Genomic DNA, 25,485 nt, shown 5'->3' on the forward strand with positions numbered 1-25,485 from the left:
TTCATTTCTGACTACCACTCCCAAAAGTACACATACAGTTAACCCTAAACTATATAAGGTTTTATATGTAGCTTCTATATTAACATTTTACAGTAGAACTTGATCAAAAATATTCTGGATGAATATCTTTCTAATTTTTGTTAAACAGAATTTAAGGAGGAAAATAACATTCATTAAAGGTGTCAGGTACTATACTAAAGATATTATTATTTACATTTCCAAACAACCTTTAGATAAAAGTATTACCATTTCTGTTTTTAGAGATGAGGAATTATAATGCTTAAGTCATAGAAGATGAGAACCTAGATATACTGGACTCCAAAGTGTATGTTCTATTTTTTTTAGCGAGGTCTATATTCTAATATACACCACTCTACTGTATATATGTTTATGATTCCCAAAATTACAAACATAATTTTCCCACAATGAATTTTCCATCAGGAGCAATACTTTATATATAGCACAATATAACAGTTAATGATATACTCAGAGTCTAATGAGGTGTTGTATAGGTAACTGCTGTCCCTATTTTAAACAGCCTCAGGCTAATGTGACTTTTTTCCTGCCACCCAGCTGGCCCTCCATCCTACCTATATGGCTCTACTCCAACATCTAATTTGCACCTTTTAATCTGCTGTGGGACGAGAAAATAGATAATCAAATTCCTTGAATTATGTACAAAGCAAGAGAACTTCTAAACCAATATGTTAGTGCAGATGATTTAGTTCATTAATTTTTCTGATAATTATAGGCCTTTTTTTTTTTTTTGGCCTACTTCTTAATCTAAACTGAGACCTGGACAAATTAAATACTGTTCTATAATAAAGCTAAGAATTTAGTGATTCTGTTTCATTCAAAAGTTTTCCACTACACTTTTTTTTTTTTTGAGACAAGTCTCGCTCTGTCGCCCAGGCTGGAGTGCAGTGGCATGATTTCAGCTCACTGCAACCTCCTCCGCCTCCTGGGTTCAAGCAATTCTCTGCCTCAGCCTCCTGAGTTGCTGGGATTACAGGTGCCTGCCACCATGCCCGGCTAATTTTTTTGTATTTTTAGTAGAGATGGGGTTTCACCATCTTGGCCAGGCTGGTCTTCGACTCCTGACCTTGTGACCTACCCGCCTCAGCCTCCCGAAGTTCTGGGATTACAGGCGTGAGCCACTGCACCTGGCCTCATATTTTATATATATATATATATGTTTTAATACAGATGGGGTCTCACTATGTTAGCCAGGCTGGTCTGGAACTCTTGGCCTCAAGTGATCCTGCCACCTCGGCCTCCCAAAGTGGTGGGATTATAGGTATGAGTCACCGCCTCCTAGCCTATCCCATATTTTTCATGGATATAGCTCTAAACATCACCTCATTTAAAGACATTATTTTTATTTTTGTATTTGTTGACACTATCTACTTCAAGATAAAAGTTCGGCCGGGTGCAGTGGCTCATGTCTGTAATCCCAGCACTCTGGAAGGCCGTGGCAGGTAGATCACCTGAGATCAGGAGTTCAAGACCAGCCTGGCTAACGTGGTGAAATCCCATCTCTACTGAAAATACAAAATTTGGCCGGGCATGGTGGCATGAGTCTGTGATCCCAGCTACTTGGGAGGCTGAGACACAAGAATTGCTTGAACCCAGGAGGCAGAGGTTGTAGTGAGCCGAGATCATGCCATTGCACTCCAGCCTGGGTGACAGAGCAAGACTCCGTCTCAAAAAAAAAGTTATTTTTATAATTTAAATGTATTAATTGAGTACATTAGCTTTCCACTAAATGTTAGTCTAAAAAATTAATGAGGCATATATAAAAACACAGAAACATGTATTTACAAAAAGTTGACATTTTCCTGAAAAAAATTACAGAAAACCAGAAATTTTACTGCAGAGTTCTAAATATTCTGACATAATCCTTTTCCTTATCATTTTTTAAGTTTCCTTTTTTTTTTTTTTTTTTTTGAGGTGGGGTTTCACTCTATTGCCCAGGCTGGTCTGGAACTCCTGGCTTCATGAGATCCTCCTGCCTTGGCCTCCTAAAGTGCTAGGATTACAGGCTTGAGCCACTGTACTCAACTTAAGTTGTTCTTATAACTAAATTATAATTATGTATATTAATAAAATTTTCCTTAAGGAGGGGAGATTAATAACAAAATTTTAAATTTTTTTTGTACTTAGATCTCCTATAACCCCATTAGAAATATTTACTAAGAACATAAAGTGACTTTTGTTTCTCATAAATTTTAAGATTTCAATTCAATTAGATAAAGTACCATTTTGAATTTAAGATAACAATATATTTCTAAAGCCCCAAATGGAAATGTCAATCTTAGCAGTAACTCTAAAGTCCAAGTTTATTACCCTTTATTCTAGAAAGAAAAAAAAAAACTAATTTTGTCTCCCTCAGTCAGCCAATTAAAACAATCCAAAAAAGCTTACTAAACAACTGCCTTTGTAACACTGTTCATGTTTTTAGAGGTGATCAGGTATAGGGCCAAGATCAAGGTTTCTAACACTTATTCAACAAGGGATTAAAAGCAGAGTGCCACGCAAATCAAAACTCTAAATATTCTCAAAGATTAGCTGAATAAAATAGTCATAAAGTTAGATTCACAGGGATCAAAGAGCTTCAAATTCTAAAAATCGTTTCCCAGTGTAACTTCAAATAAATCCTTTGTGAATATTCCTAGTTTCTTCTATACATTAAGAAAACCTAAAAGGCAAACAAGTTCTAGATAGGAGACCAAGTATTAGTTGTTCACATTTGTATAGAACATTAAATTTTAGTTCTTATAACCCAATGAAGAAATACAAATGAGTCTAAGAGTTTGAGCAAAACCCTCTGGGGTGATCAAAACAAAACTGCAAACTTCTATGAGTCTCAACTTTTCTTCCATAAAGAGTCCCTGGCAGCATGTCTACTGTACTTAGAGAAGCATGCAAAGAATTAGGTGGTTTTTTATTCCTAACAATCACATCCCAAAGTTTTTTCTGCAATTTCAATTGTACAGAGTACTCTTCCTCGATGTTGGCTCAAATTAGAGACAGAAAGCAGAATGGCGTTTGCTAGGGATTAGGGAAGAGGGGAATACAGAGTAACTGCTTAATGGGTACAGTGTTTCCTTTTGGGGTAATGAACACATTCTGGAATTAGAGCTGGTGGTTGAACAACATTGTGAATGTATAAAGTGCCACCTAAACTGTTTACTTTAAAATGGTTAATGTTATGTGACTTAACCTCAATAAAAAAAATTATGTTAATCTGTAGATAAAACTGACCCCTTTAGAACTCTTTTCTTGCTCAAAAAAAAAAAAAAAAAAAAAAAAAAACTGCTACCATGTTCAAATGCTATTTAGATCTTGGAAATTTTTTAGATAAAATGCACTTATAAGTTAAATTATTACCACATGTGCACAGTAATAATCAGTGAAGGTATACCAGTGTCAGTTTAAAACATTGTTATGCCTGTAATCTCAGCACTTTGGGAGGCAGAAGTGGGAGGATCACCTTGCTCCCAGGAGTTTGAGACCACCCTGGGCAACACAGCAAAATGCTATCTCTATAAAAATAATAAAAATTAAAAAAAGTAGCCAGGTAAGGCGGGAATAACACTTAAACCAAGGAGTTTGAGGCTGAAGTGAGCTATGATAATGCCACTGCACTCCAGCCTGGGTGACAGACCATGAGTGACTCTGTCATTCATTCATAATATATACATACAGCATTGCTAAAATGCTTGATAACTGTCAAAAGAATATTGCTCTGACATACATCTGCAAATAAGTAAGGTGACTTTAAATTTGAGGAAAATTCTTTCCCCAAGCCTCAATCAGGAAAACAATATAAACTAATAAGAAGTATCTAATAAACAAAAAGTAAACAAGAATATTATATAAGTAAACAGGCACAATCCTGACCAAAAATGGACAGAAATAAATATGCTAAAGTTAAGTGTCTGGGGGATGTAGGGCAACATTACTTCAGATTGGTAAATGTCACACTTCAAAAATAGAAGGAATCTACCTTAAGAAACTCTGTAGTAAGAAAACCTCCTTTGTATAAATGCCTGACAAAATTAATCTTTTATCATAACCTCTAAAGCTAGTCCAAATCCAGCCTAGATTCCAGAATTACACAAAAGAAAAAATCTTGGAGACGGTTCTGGGAAAAGGCTGACCAAAATCTGTGACTGTTTTGATACAGGCCAATCTGAGAATTTTAATCCCTCTGAACCCAATCCTGCAGAATACCTGAACCCTGAGCACAGACGGGGCCAAAGCTAAACCAGGTCAGAATACCCTGCCAAGGAACATCCTGATCTGAGGTGTTCACCAAACAGGGATCATTTATCAGTTTATTCTTCACTTTGTTGGATGCTGACCATTTTCAAGATATATGCAAGAGTGGACTGATTAGACCCATCAGAATCCATTTCAAGCCCTAAGATCTGGAGATGAAAAATACTGCAGAATTCTAAATTATCTATGGCTTAAAGAAAAAAAATTATAAATTAAGAACTTCAAATATTAGCTGACCCAACTTTAACATCATTGAATATCTTTAATTATTTAAAAAAATTTATAAAGTATTTCAAAGGCACAATTTAGTAATTGCCTATGTAACAAATTAACCATGAAAACAATTACAGCAGTATGATAAATCTGTCCTATGTAAACAGTATGAGTTTTTATATTTTATAGCATTCAGATATGCTAAAAACAAAAATTTAAGTGTTTCTTTTGTGATTCACATGAACAAATACTTTCTTGGTCTTACAAGTAGATATCTGACAGGATACAAATAATGATAATAGGGTAAGTTCACAGGCAAAAAAAGGAATCTGTCAACACAGAAGATGCTTCAAAGTTTAACTGTGACACATGTGGTAGTGGCAAAGAATCTAATTTGTGTCACAAGATCTGAGTCTGAGTAAGCTCTTTTACCTATTAATTATGTGATCTTTTTGCTGGTTACATAGCTACTCTTAGCTTCACATTCTTCATATGAAAAAATGAGGACAACAGAACTAATACTGCAGCATAATGAGGAAGCTTAAATATTTTTATTCATTCAACAAATATGTTCTGAAAGGCGTTGTGTACAAATTACCCTTTTTTATTTCTTCAAATAAATCAAGCATATATTAACTTTTAATATTACCAAGAAAATATAAATCTAATTCTTAAGCTCTGGTTCCAAAACTTCTTAGAAGTAAATTTTTATTACCTGAGAAAATGTGAACTTAAGTAATAAGTATTGATACTGAAGAAGGGACAGTTGAGTTTGTGTCAAAACTTAAAACTGTTTTGACACAAAATAAATAAAAACAATTCCCTAAATTTTTTTCCTATTGAACAGAAATACGGACCCAGACTAAGCCCATAAATTGCTGGGTCAATAACCAATCTGAAATACAAAACCTTACCACTTAAAAATATTTATTTTCAGGAAAATGATATTAAATATGAGGTAAATCTGCCCTTGACATAACACGGTGAGATTGTTTTCATAACACAGCACATGAACCACTTAAAACTTACAACCTATAAATTACTACAATTGTTCTAATAGGTTTAGGGCCATACATAAATTTAAGTATCATTATAACACAGACTTTACTTGGAATCTGTGCTGACCTAACAAAATTAGCACAGAAAAAAAAAAAAAATCACAGATTTGAGCACCTGAAAAACGGTGTCCTTTCTGAAATATCTGCAAAAAAGTCACAACATCAGGAGCCATAGAAAGTTGTTATTTCTCCATCATTCAAAAAATCAAAACATCTCCAACATTATTTATGCTAAGCATAAAATGAAGGTCAGTATTGATATTCATTCACTATACTTCAAATCCTAAACAAGAAAATTCAACCTTTATGTTTATTCAATTGCTAATCTATTCAGTGTCAATTGTTGTGGAAGAACTAAGAACTAGACTAGTGCTGCTTATAATGTTTTTAATTAGAACAGACTTGGACCAATTCTACTTAGAAATTTACCCTTAGAAGAGGTGAAAGATATTAACTGGCATCTTTTCAGCACAGGTCAGTGCTGAAAAGAACACAACCTATAACCCTTAGGCCTTGCAGTTGAATGTTAACAAGTGAAAAGCAATCTCCTTGGATGTATCCAAGCGATTTTAATATAAATTTCTGCATACCTAGGTAGAAAGTACTTTAGAAATAAATCTACCTTTTCCCTCACTTGTAAGAAAATGTGGTAGAAGCCTTGAAAAATTAAGTTTAAGGCTGAGCGAGGTGGCTCACGCCTGTAATCCAAGCACTTTGGGAGGCGGAGGAGGGCAGATGACTTGAGGTCAGGAGTTCCAGACCAGCCTGGCCAACATGGTGAAACCCCGTCTCTACTAAAAATACAAAAATCAGCCGGGCATGGTGGCGGGCGCCTGTAATCCCAGCTACTCCGGATGGTGAGGCAGGAGAATCGCTTGAATCCGGGAGGTGGAGGCTGTAGTGAGCCGAGATTGTGCCACTGCAATCCAGCCTGGGTGACAGAGCAAGACTCCGTCGCAAAACAAAACAAAAACGAAATCAAATTTCAAACTCAGAGAAAAGACTGGTCTTGAACAATTTCAGGAAAAATTACTGAAACACGAGACAAGGCACAAGAAGCTCTATGGCCGGAGATGAACCACCTGTCTCCTTTCGAAGTGCTTCCTGAGGTCCACTTTATGCTAGTTAATGTTGCTTCTTATACTGCATGTTAGTAATTCAAAACGCCTAGCTGGAATAAAAGTCCTCTTTAAACATTACAGTTTGTCTCCGCGTTGCCAGTGTTTGTTTCCAGTTTCATAGGCTATTCTGGTATGTCAAGAGTTGTGTTATTACTGTTCCAAAAGAGCCCTTGTTTCAATCCACTCTCACCTGGGATGCGGGCATAACTGATGTTTATAGAACTGATACTTAGAGATGTTTAGAGAGGCGCATCCCTTACCACTCCATCCTTTACCGATAACCACATTTTATATGTTTTTGTTGCATTTAAGTTTTTTGTTTTTTTTTTTTAAAGACACCTGCACACACACAATTTTCCCATCGCCAGCAGGGAGAAGACTACCAGGCTAGATCTCCAGGGACTTCAGGGAAACAGACACCGTGAAATCCACTTGGCCAAAGAAGGGGAGCGCTTCAGGGGCTGGGGGAGGAAGCAGCCCTGAGGTGCTGGGAGGCCGAGGCGGCGCCTGTTTACAGACGCCTTCGCCCTCCCCCACCCCCACAGACTAGGGGTCCAAAAAGCAGTTCCCGTGCGCATTCCCCGCCTGGCCCAGGCCCTGGGAGTACCACAGGAGCCAGGTAGCCCTTTCGCCCCCTCCCTCTCGTCCGAGCCTCCCTTCGTCCTCCTCTCGGCCTACCTACCCCGACAGGCCCTACAGGCGGCATGCAGAGGCCTGAGGCCTAAAGGACGCCGGCCACTGACAAGCCCCAGAACAGCCGGCGGGGGCCCTGAGGAGCCTGGGGCCGGCCGGGCTGCCGCTGCCGCGGAGGAGCAGAGGGCGGGCGAGGACAAACCCTTCCCGACCACAGCTGCCTATTGTTCCCGACTGAGGCCCCGGCCGCGGCAGCCCCGCTCCCCAAGTCGCCGCCCGCCGCTCGCTCACCGCGCTGGTCCGAGCAGCAGCTCCTCTCAGCTCCGAGTCCCCGCGGCCGTCGCCACCGCCGCGGCAGCCGCCGCCGCCGCCGAGGCCACCGTTGACTCTGATTCTGTCCCAGGCCGCCGGGCCACGGCTGCCGCCGCCACCGCCAGCACCGCCTCCGGCCTCCCACCTGCTGCTGCTGAGGCTGCTCCTGCAGCAGGGGCCATCTTGTTGCTCGGCCTCCTCTTCCTCCTCCTCGTCCTCCGCCGCCCAGTCGCTCGTTGTCCTCGTCCCCTTCCTCTTCCTCAGGCTCCGGCCCGCCCCGGAGACTGGGGCGGAGACGAGGGCGAGGATCCTCCCTCAGGAGGCGGGGCGGGCGGAGGGGAGGGGCGGGCGCGGGAGCAAAGCTCTGAGTCACCGGCCACCAACGCCCGGAGGGAGACCGGCGACGCTCTCCGCCGCGACCGAAAGTCTCACACGCCCTGAGCAGATGAACCGGTCCCTCGGTCCGGTCTGCCCTCCCGCACCGGCGCCTTTGGGCTCAGCGGGCCAGTGGCCAGATGGCGAGAGTAAATTGGGGGAATTTCTTTCGTTTCCATCGAACCCCACACTACGTCTACTCTTTCGGCTTTCTCAGCCGTTGTCCCCCAACTCTTGTTTCTTTTTCACGTCTTGTCCCCCACCCCATTTTTCTTCTTCCATATTATCCAGGTTCTGGATCTCATCAGCTTTGTCCTCGTCACCCCTCTGGGAGTTCAGCCTCCTAAGGCTGTGAAACAGCCCAAAAGGCCCGGACACGCTACTCCAAAACGTCTCTCCTGGGCTGTGTGAACAATAAGAGCTATTTGGGGACGACAGGAAAAGATATGGCCCATAGAAGGGCTCCTGAAATCTAACCTTGCGACTCTTTAAAAGTTTCTTGTCCCTTGTGGAAAAGGTGCCGTTTTGGTTTTGGGGAATGGGAGGTCCCTTCAGACAATTCATTTTAGCCAAACCCTCGCTTTTGAGAAGGGGAAGAAATGGGATTATTGTAACACCATACAGTACTAATTTCAAAATAAATCATCTAGAATAGAGGAGAGAGAGAGTCCCCAAATAAACAACCATTTAATACCTCTACTCGGCGCTATCACCTTTTTTGCTTCAGGATTTGACCAAGAGAGCAGAGATTATGTTTTTCTGTCCTTTCTTCACTGTTTACATCACAGTACCCCAAGAGAAGCACTTCTGCCTTTAACTTGATACATTGGAATCGCTATCACAGATAGTGTTTTTGTATTATTTTTAAGAAATATCACACACCTTCCTAAACTCTTGGCAGAGAAGAATTCTTTTTAGTTGTTAGCACCCTCCTGCTACTGAGATCTCAGCTTCTGTTTAGAAGACCTATTGTTGTCTTTCCACTGATTGGAATTTGCTGCCTCTGAACTGGGTTTAATCTGTAATCGTCTTTTCAGCCTACTAAATAGTAACCCCAGTCCTACAGAGAGTGAATTTCTAGCTACCACAGGGGGATTTAGGTTAGCATGTGCCAATCTAAAGGGATCTCTTAAAGCCTTTCCCTTCTCAGACCAGGCCTCTGTACCCTGCTAGGAAAAACAGATTAATCTGCTCCTCCTGCTTTTCCTCCTCCTCCCTTCTTCTCACTCCTAGGGAACCTTCCACAACAGAAGGTTTTAGCGACTGTTGCTAGGCAAACATGCCAACTTCCTTGTTTAGGTGAAGCGAGTAACTCAACTTCCATTGCAAGTAACCTAGATAATGTAATTTCTTTGAACTATTAATAGTTATACCACAGTTGGTAAGGCTCCTTAAAGGTTCCCTTAAGCAGTATGATTTTTACGTTGTTTATTTTTATCTCGTCAATATTTCAATTAAAAATACGTTAAAGGACAGATAGATGCAGTGGCTCACGCCTGTAATCCCAACATTTTAGGAGGCTGAGGGGGGCGGATCACCTGAGGTCCGGAGCCTGACCAACGTGGAGAAACCCCATCTCTACTAAAAATACAAAAATTAGCCAGGTGTGGTGGCGTGCACCTATAGTCCTAGCTACTCGGGAGGCTGAGGCAGGAGAATCACTTGAACCTGGGAGGTGGAGGTTGTAGTGAGCCGAGATCACGCCATTGCACTCCAGTCTGGGCAAAAAGAGCTAAACTCTGTCTCAAAAAAAAAAAAAAAAAAAAAAAAAAAGTTAAAAATGGCGGCGCTTCCCCAAACCCAAATTCATTTTAGTGATATAAAGATGCATTTGACAGAAAAAGAAGAGCAGCTTTGAAGAAAACACTTATGCTTACAATAAAAAATAAAAAACTAATCTGTGAGAAGTCATATGTTTTCAACTCCCCAGTCAGACTAGAAGTGTAAGATACAGGGGATAAGGCCGGGAGCGGTGGCTCACGCTTGTAATCCCAGCACTTTGGGAGGCCGAGGCAGGCAGATCACGAGGTCAGGAGATGCAGACTATTCTGGCCAACATGGTGAAACCCCGTCTCTACCAAAAATACAAAAAGCCCGGCGTGGTGGCGCGCGCCTATAGTCCCAGCTACTCAGGAGACAGAGGCAGGAGAATCACTTGAACCTGAGAGGCAGAGGCTGCAGTGAGCCAAGATTGTACCACTGCACTCCAGCCTGGATGACAGCAAGACTCGGTCTTGGCAGAGCATTGTGGCCCACGCCTGTAATCCCAGCACTTTGGGAGGCTGAGGAGGGTGGCTCTCCTAAGGTCAGGAGTTCAAGACCAGCTTGGCCAACATGGTGAAACCCCGTCTCTACTAAAAATACAAAAAAATTAGCTGGGCGTGGTGGCAGGCACCTGTAATCCCATCTACTAGGGAGGCTGAGGCAGGAGAATCCTTTGAACCTGGGAGGCGGAGGTTGCAGTGAGCCGAGATCGTGCCATTGCACTCCAGCCTGGGCAACAAGAATGAAACTCCGTCTCAAAAAAAACACCAAAAATTAGCTGGGCATGGTGGTGCACGCTTGTAATCCCAGCTACTTGGGAGGCTGAGACAGGAGAATCGCTTGAACCTGGTAGGTGGAGGTTACAGTGAGCCGAGATCACGCCACTGCACTCCAGCCTGGCGACAGAGCAAGACTCCATCTCAAAAAAGAAAAAAAGAAAAAAAAAAGATACAGAGGATAATTTATCTCTTGAAATTGAGTCTATTTAAAATAAAGATAATATGAATATTCAGCAAGGGGGAAAAAAGATATTCTGGGTTTTATTCCTAAATTAACAATTATTTGAAAATTTAGCTAGGGAAATAAGCTTTTTTTAAAAATTTTATTTAAAATGTTTTTACTCTTGTTAGAGTATTGAGATTTGTTGTGAATTAATACAAATAAGATTAAATGAGGCTGAGCATGGCAGCTCATGCCTGTAATCCTAGCATTTTAGGAGGCTGAGGCAGGAGGATTGCTTGAGGCCAAGAGTTCAAGACCACCTGGCCAACATAGAAGACCTTGTCTCCATTTAATTAAAAAAAAATTTTTATAAAAGATTAATGACGCCAGGCAAGGTGGCTCACATCTGTAATCCCAGAACTTTGGGAGGCCGAGGCAGGCGGATCACCTGAGGCCAGGAGTTCGAGCCCAGCCTGGCCAACATGGCAAAGCCCCATCTCTACTAAAAATACAAAAATTGGCTGGATATGGTGGTACATGCCTGTAATCTCAGCTACTCAGGAGGCTGAGGCAGGAGAATTGCTTGAACCCGGGAGACGGAGGTTGCAGTGAGCCGAGATCACGCCACTGCACTCCAGCCTGGGTGACAGAGCAAGACTCTGTCTCAAAAAAAAAAAGATTAATGAGACACTATGTTGAAATTTAAATTATATAGATTTAAACTTCAGAACTCTTAAAATTTGTTTTAATCCACTGAAACTCATATTAATACACTGAAATAGTGTTTGAGAAGTGTCTTGAGCTTAGATTATATGTTAATTAAGAGTATATTACTTAAGATAAACAGCTTATATGTTTCATAGCCATTTGTGCTCAGAAATCACTATTTTGCTCACACCTGTAATCTCAGCACTTTGGGAGGCTGAGGTGGGCGGATCGCTTTGAGCTCAGTTGTTCCAGACCAGCCTGAGCAACACGGCAAAACCCCATCTCTACAAAAAGTACAAAAATTACCTGGGTATTGGTGGCTCATGCCTGTAGTCCCAGCTACTCAGCTACTCAGAAGGTTGAGGTGGAAAAATCAATTGAGCCTGGGAAGCAGAGGTTATAGCAAATGGAAATCATGCCACTGCGCTCCAGCCTGGGCTACGGAGTGGGAGCCTGTCTCACAAAAAAAAAAAAAAAAAAAAAAAAAATCACTATTTTGTAGCTTCAAGACAACTTAAACAAATTGTTTTATCTCATATTTTGTTAATAATTCTGATGTGCAATACCCATAAATTTAGACTCTGCCCTGGCTTCCACTACTGATACACTATGAAAATCAAATGAGTCATTTCATATAAAATATCAGCACATGGCATATAGTAAGTACTCAATTTTTTTCAAATTCATTTTGTGCATATGTTATTATAGTCTTCTGTTTCTTAATCAGTCAGATAAGAATGACAAGTCATCAAATACGTTTTTGCTCTTTGCATGACCCCTAAAAAAAGATTAATGCATCTTTTCAGATCATACACAAATCAGTTAAAATAATGCCTTATGTTTTCAATATATATTCTAATATGCCTGTACTGTATTTTCTGATATGCCTGTACTATATTGTTTGTTCCTCTGATTTTTTTTTTTTTTTTTTGAGATGGAGTCTCGCTCTGTCTCCAGGCTGAAGTGCAGTGGCACAATCTCAGCTCACTGCAACCTCTGCCTCCCAGGTTCAAGAGATTCCCTTGCCTCAGCCTCCCGAGTAGCTGGGAGTACAGGTGCGTGCCACCATGCCCGGCTAATTTTTTGTATTTTAGCGGAGACAGGGTTTCACCATGTTGGCCAGGATGGTCTCAATCTCCTGACCTTGTGATCCTCCCACCTCGGCCTCCCAAAGTGCTGTGATCACAAGCGTGAGCCACTGCACCTGGCCTCCTCTGATTTTTTTTTTTTTAGAATAACTTAATGCTTTTTAGGTTATGCTGCATGACTTTTTAACCTATTACATGCTTTAAAATTGTTCTAGAATGTGTAAATGTCAGCCTAACACACTGTTTGTCATATTAAGGCTAGAAATGACCTTAGATACTCATTTATTTCAACAGTCGAAGCTGAGAGTAAGAAAGACTGGATAGATCACTTACCTACCCAACTACTTCTTTATAGATAAACACCATGTAATTGAGGAGGGGGTTAGGGAGCAAAGAGGGCTGGGAAAAGAGGAGAAAAGATGAATGAGGTATGTATCCCTGCCTTAGAGAAATTGAATAACCTAGTAGGAACAATGCAATAAGATATTCATGTAAACTAGAATATAAAGTACCTTAGTGATTAGTGCATAGAAAGTAAAAAGTCAGGCCGGGTGCGGTGGCTCATGCCAATAATCCCAGCACTCTGGGAGGCCAAGGCAGGTGGATCACTTGAGGTCAGGAGTTCGAGACCAGCCTGGCCAACATGGTGAAACCCTGTCTCTACTAAAAATACAAAAATTAGCCAGGCATGGTGGCTGGTGCGTATAATCCCAGCTACTCAGGAGGCTGAGGCAAGAGAATCACCTGAACCCAGGAGGTAGAGGTTGCAGTGAGCCAAGATTGCACCATTGCACTTCAGCCTGGGCAATAAGAATGAAACTCCATCTCAAAAAAAGAAAGAAAGTAAGTACAAAGTCCTCTGAGAGTTAAAATCATTCTAATGTCATGGAACCTACCTTCTGACAGGTGGCAATTCTGTGGTATCAGATGTGTACCCGGGGCATAGAAATCCTATCAGCTCTTGATTTGGGACACTAGGGGGATGAAGAAGGATAAGGAAGGAGAAATTGAAAGGTATGAGAGTAGAGTCTGGATTAACTAAAAAACCTGGTTTAAAGTACAGCTGGGACCTGAGACCTCTCCAGTCTAAATAGTTTATGTAAGGGGAGGGAATGACATCCTCAAACACACACACACAAAATAGCGGGTACTGGAGCTGAGCCACTTGGGTTTTCTGAACTGCTTTAGGTAAAGTAAGAGTGGGAAGTTAATTGTCTTCTCCATCCTTACTATCATCTCTTATTCTTATACAAAGATTCTCCATGACCTCCTACTTCCTCCCCAGTCCACAATATTGTACCCCTCCTATTAAAATTTCATTAAAAATAAAACTCTAAAAAATAAGAAGCAGAGGAAGATGTCCCATGCAATACACTATAGAAATATGAGGAAACCGATGGTGTCTGACCTACCCTACACCTTTGGAGTCAAGTCCAAAATCAGACCCAAATCATCATCTGCAAATTAAGCCTAACGGATTGCTGTAGATTCAGGGTGTTAATCACATGGCAAATATAGCCCAATTTAGTTCTGAGATTTCAAGAGCTAGGTTCCTGCAGACTTGAGATTCCAAAAGAGTTAAGTAAAATGATGTTTCTGAGTCTTACATGAAATTGCTTCTAAATTGGCCTGCCTTCCATAAAGGCCTCCAGCCCAACATTGAGCTGTCTGAACTTCAGCTGACCCTTAGAGACTTATCTGAAGCCAATGATAAACAGAATGCCTTTACAAAAGAGATATCAAACAACTTTCAGCAAAGTGGTCCACTCTAGGCAGTTAGGTTAAGAGAAAGTAGCTCCACTTTTCCAGTGGCAAAACTCACTGGAATATTGTTGTTTTCACTATTAGTTTGCTAGGGCTATCACACCAAATGCCACAGTCTGGGTGGCTTTTTGTTTTTTAAACGTAATCCCACATGGCAGCATGTTATTATTGGTGTAAAATGGATAAGTATAAGATTTTTGTTTTGTTTTTGAGATGGAATCTCGCTCTGTTGCCCAGGCTGGAGTGCAGCTGGAGCTCACTGCAACCTCTGCCTCCCTAGTTCAAGCAATTCTCCTACCTCAGCCCCCTGAGTAGCTGGGATTATAGGCATGAACCACCACGCCTGGCCGGGATAAGTATAAGATGTTTTATGTAAGCCTCAGGGTAACCATAAAGCAAAAGCCCATAATAGGTATGCAGGCCAGGCACAGTGACTCACGCCTGTAATCCCAGCACTTTGGGAGGCTGAGGCTGGCGGATCATGAGGTCAGGAGTTCAAGACCAGCCTGGACAACATAGTGAAACTCTGTCTCTACTAAAAATACAAAAATTAGCCAGGCATGGTGGCGCACGCCCGTAGTCCCAGCTACTCGGGAGGCTGAGGCTGGAGAATCGCTTGAATCTGGGAGGTGGAGGTTGCGGTGAGCCAAGATCATGCCACTGCACTCCAGGCTGAGCAACAGAATGAGACTTAGTCTAAAAATAAACCAAAATACATATATATATATATATATATACACATATATATATGCATGCAAAGGATAAGAAAAAATTTAAATCATACCATTATAGAAAATCATCAAACCACAAAGGAAGAAAACGAGAGGGGAAGAAAGGAACAAGGAACTTCAAATCAACCAGAATAACAAAACAATAATTTTAAAAAAACCCAGTTTATTGGAAATCATCATTCTCAGTAAACTATCGCAAGAACAAAAAACCAAACACCACATATTCTCACTCATAGGTGGGAACTGAACAATGAGAACACATAGACACAGGAAGGGGAACATCACACTCTGGGGACTGTTGTGGGGTGGGGGGAGGGGGGAGGGATAGCACTGGGAGATATACCTAATGCTAGATGACGAGTTAATGGGTGCAGCGCACCAGCATGGCACATGTATACATATGTAACTAACCTGCACATTGTGCACATGTACCCTAAAACTTAAAGTATAATAAGTAAAAAAAAAAAAACATAGAAAAAAGAAAAGAAAAAAAAACCCAGCAAACAATTTTTCAAATGGCACTTATAAGTCCTTACCTATACGTAATTACTTTGAATGTAAATGGATTAAATTATCTAATCAAAAGGCATAGAGTGGCTGAAAAGATTAAAAAAAAACAACAACAACAAGACCCTTAGAGGCCAGGTGTGTAATCCCAGCACTTTGGGAGGCCAAGGCATGCAGATCACCTGAGGTCAGGAGTTCGAGACCAGCCTGGTAAACTTGGCAAAACCTTGTCTGTACTAAAAATACAAAAATTAGCCGGGCATGGTGGCAGGCGCCTGTAATCCTAGCTACTTAGGAGGCTGAGACAGGAGAATTGCTTAAACCCAGGAGGCAGAGGTTACAGTGAGCCGAGATCACACCATTGCACTCCAGCCTGGGCAACAAGAGTGAAACTCCATCTCAAAAAAAAAAAAAAAAAAAAACTTAGCTAGGCATGGTGGTGGGCACCTGTAATCCCAGCTACTCAGAAGGCTGAGGCAGGAGAATGACTTGAACCCAGGAGGCGGAGGTTGTAGTGAGCCGAGATCGTGCATTGCACTTTAGCCTGGGTGACAAGAGTGAAACTTCATCTCAAAAAAAAAAAAGACCCTTGGAGCTGGCACAGTGGCTCACCCCTGTAATCCCAGTGACTCAGCAAGCTGAGGTGGGAGGATCACTTGAGCCCAGGAGTTGGAGGCTGCAGTGAGCTATGACTGTGCTGCCATACTCCAGCCTGGGCAACAGAATGAGACCCTATCTCTAAAAACAAACAAAAAACAAGACCAAAGTATATGCTGCCTACATAAGACTCACTTCACCTTAAAGCAGGGGTCCCTAACGTCTGGTCCATGGACCAGTACAGGTCTGTACCCTGTTAGGAACCTGGACACACAGCAGGAAATGAGCAGCTAGCAAGAGAGCATCACCGCCTCAGCTCTGCCTCCTGTCAGATCAGTGGCAGCATTAGATTCTCATAGGAGCATGAACCCTACTGTGAAATGCACATGCAAGAATCTAATGCCTGATGATCTGAGGTGGAACAGTTTCATCTTGAAGCCATCCCTCACGCCTGGCCTGTCCATGGAAAAATTGTCTTCAAAGAAACTGTTCCCTGGTGCCAAAAAGTTTGGGGATCATTGCCTTAAAGGACTCTTGTAGACTGAAAGTGAAGGGAAAGATGACTGTTTGTTTATATAACTAATTATTGGAACCTCGTGTGGGGCTCTGTCTATCTAAACATACAATTCTAGATATACTGAGTTCAATATACTTTGTAACCAAATGATGTCCTCTAGCACAAATGTATATTCAATATCTATTGGGCAATATTAGGTTTATCCGATCATGAATATCAGTTAAGAAAAAGTTGGACATTCATATGTAAATCATTCAGGAAACTAGAATTTGAAACATAATGCTTTAAGCAATATGGAGGAGAAACTTCCTTTTGCTCCATACTTCACTTTGTATGATCTGGACTTGGGGGAGTCTTTAGAGTTTTTTGTTTTTCTAAGAGGTTAGGGATCAAAGATTATCCCTATCACTTGGAGGCAGTTCATGAACCATGCAGTAAAATGTCTGTATAGTAGGCTCCTCATTGAAGATGAATATTCAGCTTCATGTTACTCCATGAGTTTATTTTCTTTTTGTTATCCTCTAAGTTTGAATAAAGTGTTTGAGTGCTGTAGTCTTTTCTCAGTGCTAATCTTCTATTAATGGGATAGTTCTGCAACCATACTTGGGCCAGTATAGCACCAGTGATGGGAAATACCTAGAGCTCCACCAGAGGAAAAGCAAATCACTCGGGTTAAGAGTCAGAGTCCTTCTCCATCTTGATATTTTTCTTCAGTTGTCAAACTGGGACAGGCAGAAAGATCTAGTTCAAGCCCTTGTTCCACTGCTTACTAGCTGTGTGATCTTGTACAAGTTAACCTTAGAAATGTTCACTTTCCTTTAGTGTAAGATTTGTCAAATGTATCTAATGTAAAATACAAGGATAGTGAAATTTATTTTATGGAGATTACAATGAGAAAATATATGTAGAACATCTAGTACAATGCCTGACATCTATTAGGCACTTGATGAATGAGAGTTATTAAAATTATACTAGGTACTGTACATTGCATTAGGCTGGTGGTTCTCAATTTTGCTGTGAACTTTTAAAAACTATGGTCCAGGCATGGTGGCTCACACCTGTGATCCAGCACTTTGGGAAGCTGAGGCAGGTGGATCACTTGAACTCAGGAGTTCAAGACCAGCTTGGACAACATAGCAAAACCTTGTCTCTACAAAAAATACAAAAATTCGTTAGGTGTGGTGGCACACACCTGTAGTCCCAACTATTTGGTGGGCTGAGGTGGGAGGTTTACTTGAGCCTGGGGAAGTTGAGGCTGCAGTGAGCCGTGTTTGTACCACTGCACTCCAGCCTGGGACACAAAGTGAGACCCTGTCACAAAAACAAAACAACAACAACAACAAAAAACTATGTATCTCCAGCTCTGACCCTAGAAATTCTGATTTGGAGTGTTGGTTTGGGGCCAGGCATCTTTATGTTTTTTGGATTTTACAGGTGATTTTATCCTGTCTTCTTGGGTGATAACCACTGACATAGGGCAATGGTCAGCAAACCTTTTTGGTAAATGGCCAGATAGTAAATATTTTAGGCTTTACATGGCATATGGTCTCTGTCACAGCTATTTGACTCTGTTATTGTAGTGTTAGAGCAGCTGTAGACAATATATAAACAAATAAGAATGAGTGTTTCTAATACAACTTTATTTATAAAAACAGACAAAAGGAAGTGGCAGGCCAGATTTGGTGCCCAGACAATTGCTTGCCAAAACTTTATTATGTGGAGGGAGATTTTTTTTTATTTGCTATAGCCAGGGAAAGTATATTATTATTATATTCAATGGCGGCATTAAAAGCCTTACAGTGTTTGGTGCAATACACAGTTAATTAAATAGACAATGCTCCTGCCTTCCAAGGAATTAGTCATTCAAAACAACAACACAGACATAATATTTATAAGTAATCCTGCATGAGTAATTATCACATAAACAAATGACTATACAAGACTACATGTGAAACTGAGTTCAGGAATGGCCAGATTCTCCTAATGCTTCCATTTACAAATATCAGATAAAATAAAAGGAACATAAGGACTCATTCAGGAACCAATGTAAAGAGGAGAATGATGCCCCAGAGTAGCTCCCTTTTTTCAGCAACAGGCTGTAAGGGAGCATCTTTTAAAAAGGGATCCTTTAAATAGTACTTCATGGCTTTCCACATGGCTGAATTTACCTTCTCTCAACACTGATTTCTTCATCAAAATACATTTTTGTCTGATTTATCCTCTGAGTTTAGGGGCTATATTATGGTTAAATTTAATGATACCAGTGCTCATTACCTTTAATCTGGAACAAAGAAAAATATCTTCTGTCTCAATAGGAATAGAACTTAAAGGAAAAGTCAGTGGATCAGTTTGTGTGGATGTGTGCGCAAGTGTGTATAGGTATGTTTAAATAAAGTTATTGGTAATTTAGTAACCTACTGCCTACAATGGTAGAAAGGATGCAGTAGTAGCTGTTGGATAGGGCAAGGTTCTTATATAGCCCTGAGGGATGTGTAAGTGTTGTAAACATTAGTAATTTTGGCTGCCCAGCATCTGACTCTCTCCTCCTCCCTCTCTTTGGGAATTCTCCATTTGGGAGTTTTAGTGGATGGCAGGGTCTCTTCTCCCACTATAAGGACTGGAAAGGTCAGATACTTGCCTAAATGCCCTCCCTCAATCTGCCAAACACAAAATACACACCCAACTAGGCTGAAGGAAAGTGATCTAAGCTTGGACGACTATAGATGCTGTTAGTTGGGACTGTGAATCTGCAGTAAGTTACACAGAATTAAGTAGAATTCATCCCACTAGCAGCGCTGGTACCAAGAGTCTGGTGGGACATCAGAGTCTGATGGCAGCAATCCCTGAGGTGATGGCCAGCATCCACTGGCAGTGGCAGTGGTACTCTTATCAGGGCATTTCAAGGCTGACATTAGCTGTGATTCTGGCTATCTAGGTTCTCTCAATTCCTGTTCTTCATAACTGTGAACTGCCTGGGCGCGGTGGCTCAGGCCTGTAATCCCAACACGTTAGGAGGCTTGAACTCAGGAGTTCAAGACCAGTCAGGGCAGAACAGCGAAACCCCTTCTCTACCAAAAATATATATAAAAAAAAAAATAGCTAGGCATGGTGGTACATGCCTGTGGGCCCAGCTACTCAGGAGGCTGAGGTGGGAGGATCACTTGAGCCTGGGAGGCAGTGGCTGCAGTGAGCCAAGATCAGGCTACTGCACTCCAACCTGGGTGACAGAGTGAGACCCCATCTCAAAAAAACAAAACAAAACAAAAAAACTTTGAGCTACTCAGTTTGCTCCTAGTAAATTCCTATTCTGCCTAAGTTAGCCACTGAGATAGTTTCACCTATAAGGAAGAGTGTAGAAATCAAGGGACTGCAGAAATAATCTATTTTTCTATTTCCCATATAGACACCCTTTACTCAGTTTAAAGGACTTATCCATGTTTTTTCTTTTTCTGTGCCCTGATTTTTATGATTGCAGTTGTCAGAGTCTCAAAACTTCAAGGTACATCTATATCCATTTCACTTAAATTGAAGTGAAGGTATCCTAAATGACATGTTTCCTTCTGTTAACTCAGTTCATTTATTATTCCCAAATAATAAGCCCTCCTGTCAAGCTTTTGATTTGGACTTTTTACCCATCTGTCAAGAATGTTCAGTGTCTACTTTAAAACTAATATTGCACTAATTTCTCAAGGGGAAAGTGTCCATATCAATTTCTCTCTTAGTCAGGATTTATATCCTAGGGGAGAAAAAGAAGAATAAAATAATCTCTTCCTTGGCTAAAAACTATTACAAAAAATAAATGTTTTTTTCTTGAATTCCTAACAAGAATTTTTCTTTTTTTCTTTTTCTTTCTTTTTTGAGACGGAGTCTTGCTCTGTCACCCAGGCTGGAGTGCAGTGGCGTGATCTCGGAAGAATTTTTCTAATCAAGCATTTCATCTGGGGCAATCAAGCAATCAAAGCCTTCCTTGCTGAAATTACATGGAAAAAGAATTATTTTCTACATTTTTGCAAAAATATTTTAACTACCAAAATTGAAATGTTCATTTATGGTTTTTTTTTCTGCAAAGATACTTAACCTTGTTTCTGCAACATCTAATTGAGTCACAAATGTTCTCAAGTGATGATATAAAAGTCACAGAACAAAATTAATTCGTATTCACTTTATTACAACCACAACAAATATTTGGTAACCTCCTATGTGCCACATAACACCACAGACATCGTGCTATTTTTTTTGTTTTTTTTTTCCTGTCACCCAGGCTGGAGTGCAGTGGCACCATCTTGGCTCACTGCAACCTCTGTCTCCCGAGTTCAAATGATTCTCATGCCTCAGCCTCCCAAGTAGCTGGGATTACAGGCGCCTGCCACCACAACTGGCTAATTTTTGTATTTTTAGTAGAGACAGGGTTTCACCATGTTGGCCAGGCTGGTCTTGAACTCCTGACCTTAGGTGATCCGCCCACCTCAACCTCCCAAAGTGCTGGGATTACAGGCATGAGCCACTGCGTCTGGCCGTGCTATGTTGATATAACAGTAAACAAAACAGACAGGGTCTCTCCCTCAGAGGCTTATAGTTTAGTGTGGGAGATAGAAGACTTATAATTAAATAACCACAAGTATGTTAAGTGTCCTGAAGGCCAAAGTACATGGGGATGTTTAGCAGTAAGAATTGACCTAATCTGATGAACAGAGAAGGTTCCTCAAGAAAGTGATGTTTAAGCTGAAGTGAAAAGATGAGTAGGAATTAGCTAGGCAAACGAGGGGTAAAATGTTTCAGGGCAGAGGATAGCATGTGCAGTATCTCTGAGGTAGGAAAAAGTGTGGTATATTTAAGGAACTAACAGAAATCCAGTTTGGCTGAAGAAAGTATACAGATTCAGAGGGAGCCTAGCAAACAAAGAAGATGCCACAGAGGCCAGCAGGTAGACCTTGGAAGCCAAAGTAGGAATTTCAAGCTTTATTTAATTTATTTTTTCAATATCTTCAAATCATTTGAGCTTTATTTTAAGATAAGTTTGCTAGATAGTGTACAGGATGTTAAACTAATTTATATTTTAAATAAACAATAGTATTCTAGTATATGTCCCAAATATTGCATGGAACATAAATTGAAAAAATTATCCATTATTTTTATTTATCTATTTATTTAGGAGATACAGGGTCTCACTCTGTCTCACTCCAGGTTGGAGTGCAGTGGCACGATCATAGCTCACTGTAACCTCAAACTCTTGGGCTTAAGTGATCCTCTTGTCTCAACCTCTTCAGTAGCTAGGACTACAGGCAAGCTCCACCTCACTGGGCTATTCTCTATTTTAAGAGCAAAGTCTGAAAGGCTGAAGAGGGACATGGCAAGATTTCCCTGTTGGCCAGGCGCAGTGGCTCATGCCTGTAATCCTAGGATTTTGAGAGGCTGAGGAGGACAGATCTCTTGAGCCCAGGTATTTAAGACCACCATCATAAAAAGAAAGCATCCCCCACATCTAGAAGCTTTATACTCATTATATTGAATCTTTACAATACTAGAAGATGGATATTATTACTGCCGTTTTACAGAATAAGAAACTGAGGTTTGGGATGGTTCAATAACTCACTCCAAATAAAACAGAGTAAATAGCAGAACTAGGATTCAAAGCCAGTTATACTCATTCCAATGTACTCAGTCTATATTATAACAGTACTGACTCTCTTAGATATCTCAAGTAAATTTAGCCAATCCAAAGCTTGAATGGCTTTCTCTTTTTAATGATAGTAATAACCAATTTGACTCAGTTAATCATGAGATACAGGGCTGGTCCTGAGACTGTTTACCTCCAGATCCATTTCTTGCTTTACTTGATCCCTGATTCACAGTAAGGACTGGCCTTCCTGTGTCAGCTGCCTTCCTGGTGTGTTTGGCTAAGAAGGAGGAAAAAGAAGCCAAGTTACTTCTTGCTGATTCTCTTCCTCTTGCTTCAGGTGGAATCCTGGGCAACAGCTGTTTCCTTCATGGCCCCACCTGAGGCTGAGCAGGCTTCCACCAGGAAACCCTAGTCCCTGGGCCCCAGTAAAACATTTTCCTCTCTTTGTCCCTTTAAACTAGTGTTGTTGGTGGCTAATCTCTGGATTGCCCCTCCTAACACCTATGTAACTAATTCCGTACATCAAACATTGTCTGTTTTAAATATTTAGAGTATCTTCCACAAGCCTGATAGGACCCTGGTATGGACATTGTCTTGGCCAGTGTCATGGATAGGATATTGCTAGTTTGGACTGAAAGACCTCTCTTCTCATTCTGATAATCTCTAATCTTACTGGTGAGAGCCTAAAAATATTATTATTATTTTTATTTTTAGCTTAAAGCTTTGAATTCTGTCATTGATAATACCACCAAACATTTTTACATGCTTCAAATATAATCAAAGAACAGGGCTGGGCATGGTAGCTCATGCCTATAATCCTAGCCCTTTGGGAGGCCGAGGAGGGTGGATTGCTTGAGCTCAGGAGTTCAAGACCAGTCTGAGCAACATGGTGAAACACCATCTCTACAAAAAAACACAAAAATTAGCCAGGCATGTTGGCGTACGCCTGTAGTACCAGCTACTTATGGGGCTGAGGCAGGAGGATTGCTTGAAATCTGGGAGGTCAAGACTGCAGTTAGCCAAGATGGCGCCACTGCACTCCAGCTTGGGTGATCAAGTGAGACCCTGTTTTGATATATATACATATACATATATTTATGTATATATATTCAAAGAACAGTCTGTTTCACTGGAAGGGCTAATTGTACCCACAGCCTCTTTCTAGGGAAATCTTTAACAATGCGATATCCTTGGGTATCAGAATAAGTGGATGTGTTTGTTCCTCTTGACTGGACCAGGTGAGTGCCATTGGCCCAAGAACAGCAAACGATTGACTGGCTGGCTTCCTATGAAAGAACTTGGAGTGAGAGCTTTGTCATCAGGTCCTTAGCAACAATCTATCTGGTATTTGATCTATAGATTTAGGGGGTCAATTAGTTGGTATTAGGAGCAAGGGCAGAAAGTCACCCTGAGAGAAACAGAATCGTAGAGAAAAGATACGATGTCAATAGCTGAGCACTCAGGAAATGTCAGCAAGTTCTTGCAGCAGAGGGGATGCTTTATTTGTGCTGAATCCTGAAGAAGTTTTTAGTTCAGAAACCACAGTATTGACTCTGTCTAGTTCAGCTGTATTCAGATTCACATTATTCCTGTGTGATCCAGTGATCTTGCCATTTCCTATTTTCCTGGTTGGCTGAGATTTGTGGCTAAGATTCGTCTTTATTTTCTTTTTAAAATTTCCCTGAATATCTTTTTAGTAAACCGTCTACTACTTGATATAATCTGAGTGTGCTTATGTTTCCTGCAACTGATATAAAAACCTAAAACAGTTTTTAAGGCATCTTTAGATTTTTTCCATCCTTTTTTTTTCTTTCTTTTTTTTTTTTTTTGAGATTGAGTCTTGCTCTGTCACCCAGGCTGGAGTGTAGTGGCGTGATCTCGGCTCATTGCAACCTCCACCTCCTGGGTTCCAGCGATTCTCCTGCCTCAGCTTCCTGAGTAGCTGTGATTACAGGTGAATGCCACCACGCCCTGCTAATTTTTGCATTTTTAGTATAGATGGGGTTTCACCATGTTGGTCGGGCTTGAACTCCTGACCTCATGATCCACCTGCCTCGGCCTCCCACAGGGCTGGGATTAAAGGCGTGAGCCACCGCACCCAGCCACGACCGACTAATTTTTAGTAGAGATGGGGTTTCATCATGTTGGCCAGGCTGTTCTCGAACTCCTGACCTCAAGTGATACGCCCACCTCAGCCTCCCAAAGTGTTAGGATCACTGGCGTGAGCCACAATGCCCAGCTAGCAGCTAATCTTAATTGAGTGCTGAGGTTGTGTCAGGCATTGTTCTGAATGTAATAACTCATTTAAATTCTTAAACAGCTTTATAAATTGGTATTATTATTATCACCATTTTACAAATGAGGAAATGTAGGAAAGAGAAAGGTTAAGTTATCGCCCAGCAGTCACTCATCAAAACTGTGGTAGAGCTGGAAATTGAGCTTGGCAATCTGCTGCAGGATCTGGACTGTGAAGTCATCCTGCTAAAGAGTAGGAGGAAAAACTGCCCAATATTGTTGAATATGCAAAAACATATTTTCCAGTATACTCAGTGGAGATTTTGGAATCAATCCAAGAGATCAGTTTGGTTTTGACCTTCATAAGAGGTTGAAGACTCAGAAATATTTACTGGGCTGAGTGCAGTGGCTCATGCCTATAATCCCAGCAATTTGAGAGGCTGAGGCCAGAGGATTGCTTGAGGCCAGGAGTTTGAGACCAGCTTGGACAACATAGTGAGATCCCTGTCTCTACAAAAAATAAAAAAAAAATTAGCCAGGCGTGGTGGTGTATACCTGTAATCCTAGCTACTCGGGAGGCTAAGGCAAGAGGATCACTTGAACCCAGGAACTGAGGCTTCAGTGAGCTATGATCGTGCCACTGCACTGCAGCTTAGGTGACAGAGTGAGACTCTGTCTCTAAAAACTAAATAAAATATAGAAATTTATTGAAGGTTAGAGCGAATTAAAAAATTCATCGGTGTTCTAAATCACCCAAAGAATATATGGGATACAATGTATTTCGATACCCTAGGAAAATAGCCACCAAAAAAAGCACATCCTTGGGTATTAACCAAGAGTTTACTTGTATTACAAACAACTTTATCTACTGAACAATTGGAGACTGTCTTTTTGTAGGCTGAGAGTAAGCATTGGGCCAAGCTTAAATCAGCTCTTGTTCATAAGGAGATAATGAAGGCTGGGTGTGATGCTGGCTCACACCTGTAATCCCAACACTTTGAGAGACCAAGGTGGGA

The 25,485-nt window shown here is 41.1% G+C and overlaps 1 protein-coding gene and 1 long non-coding RNA gene across 18 annotated transcripts in view, besides 5 other annotated features; one reads left to right on the forward strand and one right to left on the reverse strand.

Annotated features, from left to right (window-relative positions):
* RC3H1 (ring finger and CCCH-type domains 1) overlaps positions 1–7,862 on the reverse strand; it is a 91,274-nt gene extending 83,412 nt beyond the window's left edge. For 11 of the 17 annotated variants that reach the window (XM_047447106.1, XM_047447102.1, XM_047447101.1 and 8 more), the window contains exon 1: positions 7,601–7,862. The gene's annotated coding sequence lies outside the window, so the exon portion shown is untranslated. The remainder of the gene's footprint in view (positions 1–7,600) is intronic. The other 6 variants (XM_047447096.1, XM_047447104.1, XM_047447095.1 and 3 more) reach the window with 1 other exon arrangement.
* Positions 462–662: a silencer, noted in NCBI's record as "peak466 fragment used in MPRA reporter construct". NCBI's record gives its function as "represses an SCP1 promoter by STARR-seq MPRAs in K562 erythroleukemia cells {active_cell/tissue: K562}" and the evidence as "EXISTENCE:reporter gene assay evidence [ECO:0000049][PMID:32103011]".
* Positions 6,488–6,607: an enhancer, noted in NCBI's record as "active region_2119". NCBI's record gives its function as "activates an Ori minimal core promoter by ATAC-STARR-seq in GM12878 lymphoblastoid cells {active_cell/tissue: GM12878}" and the evidence as "EXISTENCE:reporter gene assay evidence [ECO:0000049][PMID:35858748]".
* Positions 6,672–7,211: an enhancer, noted in NCBI's record as "NANOG-H3K27ac-H3K4me1 hESC enhancer chr1:173990305-173990844 (GRCh37/hg19 assembly coordinates)". NCBI's record gives its function as "activates a minimal SCP1, AML or CMV promoter by ChIP-STARR-seq in primed H9 embryonic stem cells {active_cell/tissue: H9 hESC(primed)}" and the evidence as "EXISTENCE:reporter gene assay evidence [ECO:0000049][PMID:30033119]".
* Positions 7,418–7,737: a silencer, noted in NCBI's record as "silent region_1558". NCBI's record gives its function as "represses an Ori minimal core promoter by ATAC-STARR-seq in GM12878 lymphoblastoid cells {active_cell/tissue: GM12878}" and the evidence as "EXISTENCE:reporter gene assay evidence [ECO:0000049][PMID:35858748]".
* Positions 7,848–8,097: a silencer, noted in NCBI's record as "silent region_1559". NCBI's record gives its function as "represses an Ori minimal core promoter by ATAC-STARR-seq in GM12878 lymphoblastoid cells {active_cell/tissue: GM12878}" and the evidence as "EXISTENCE:reporter gene assay evidence [ECO:0000049][PMID:35858748]".
* Positions 7,988–8,695, forward strand: RC3H1-DT (RC3H1 divergent transcript). The gene is made up of 2 exons (NR_187284.1): positions 7,988–8,145; positions 8,288–8,695. It is a non-coding gene; the product is annotated as an RC3H1 divergent transcript (long non-coding RNA).
* Positions 8,696–25,485: the final 16,790 nt, after the last annotated feature.

Source organism: Homo sapiens, chromosome 1 (genome assembly GCF_000001405.40).
Source record: "Homo sapiens chromosome 1, GRCh38.p14 Primary Assembly".
NCBI lineage: Eukaryota > Metazoa > Chordata > Mammalia > Primates > Hominidae > Homo > Homo sapiens.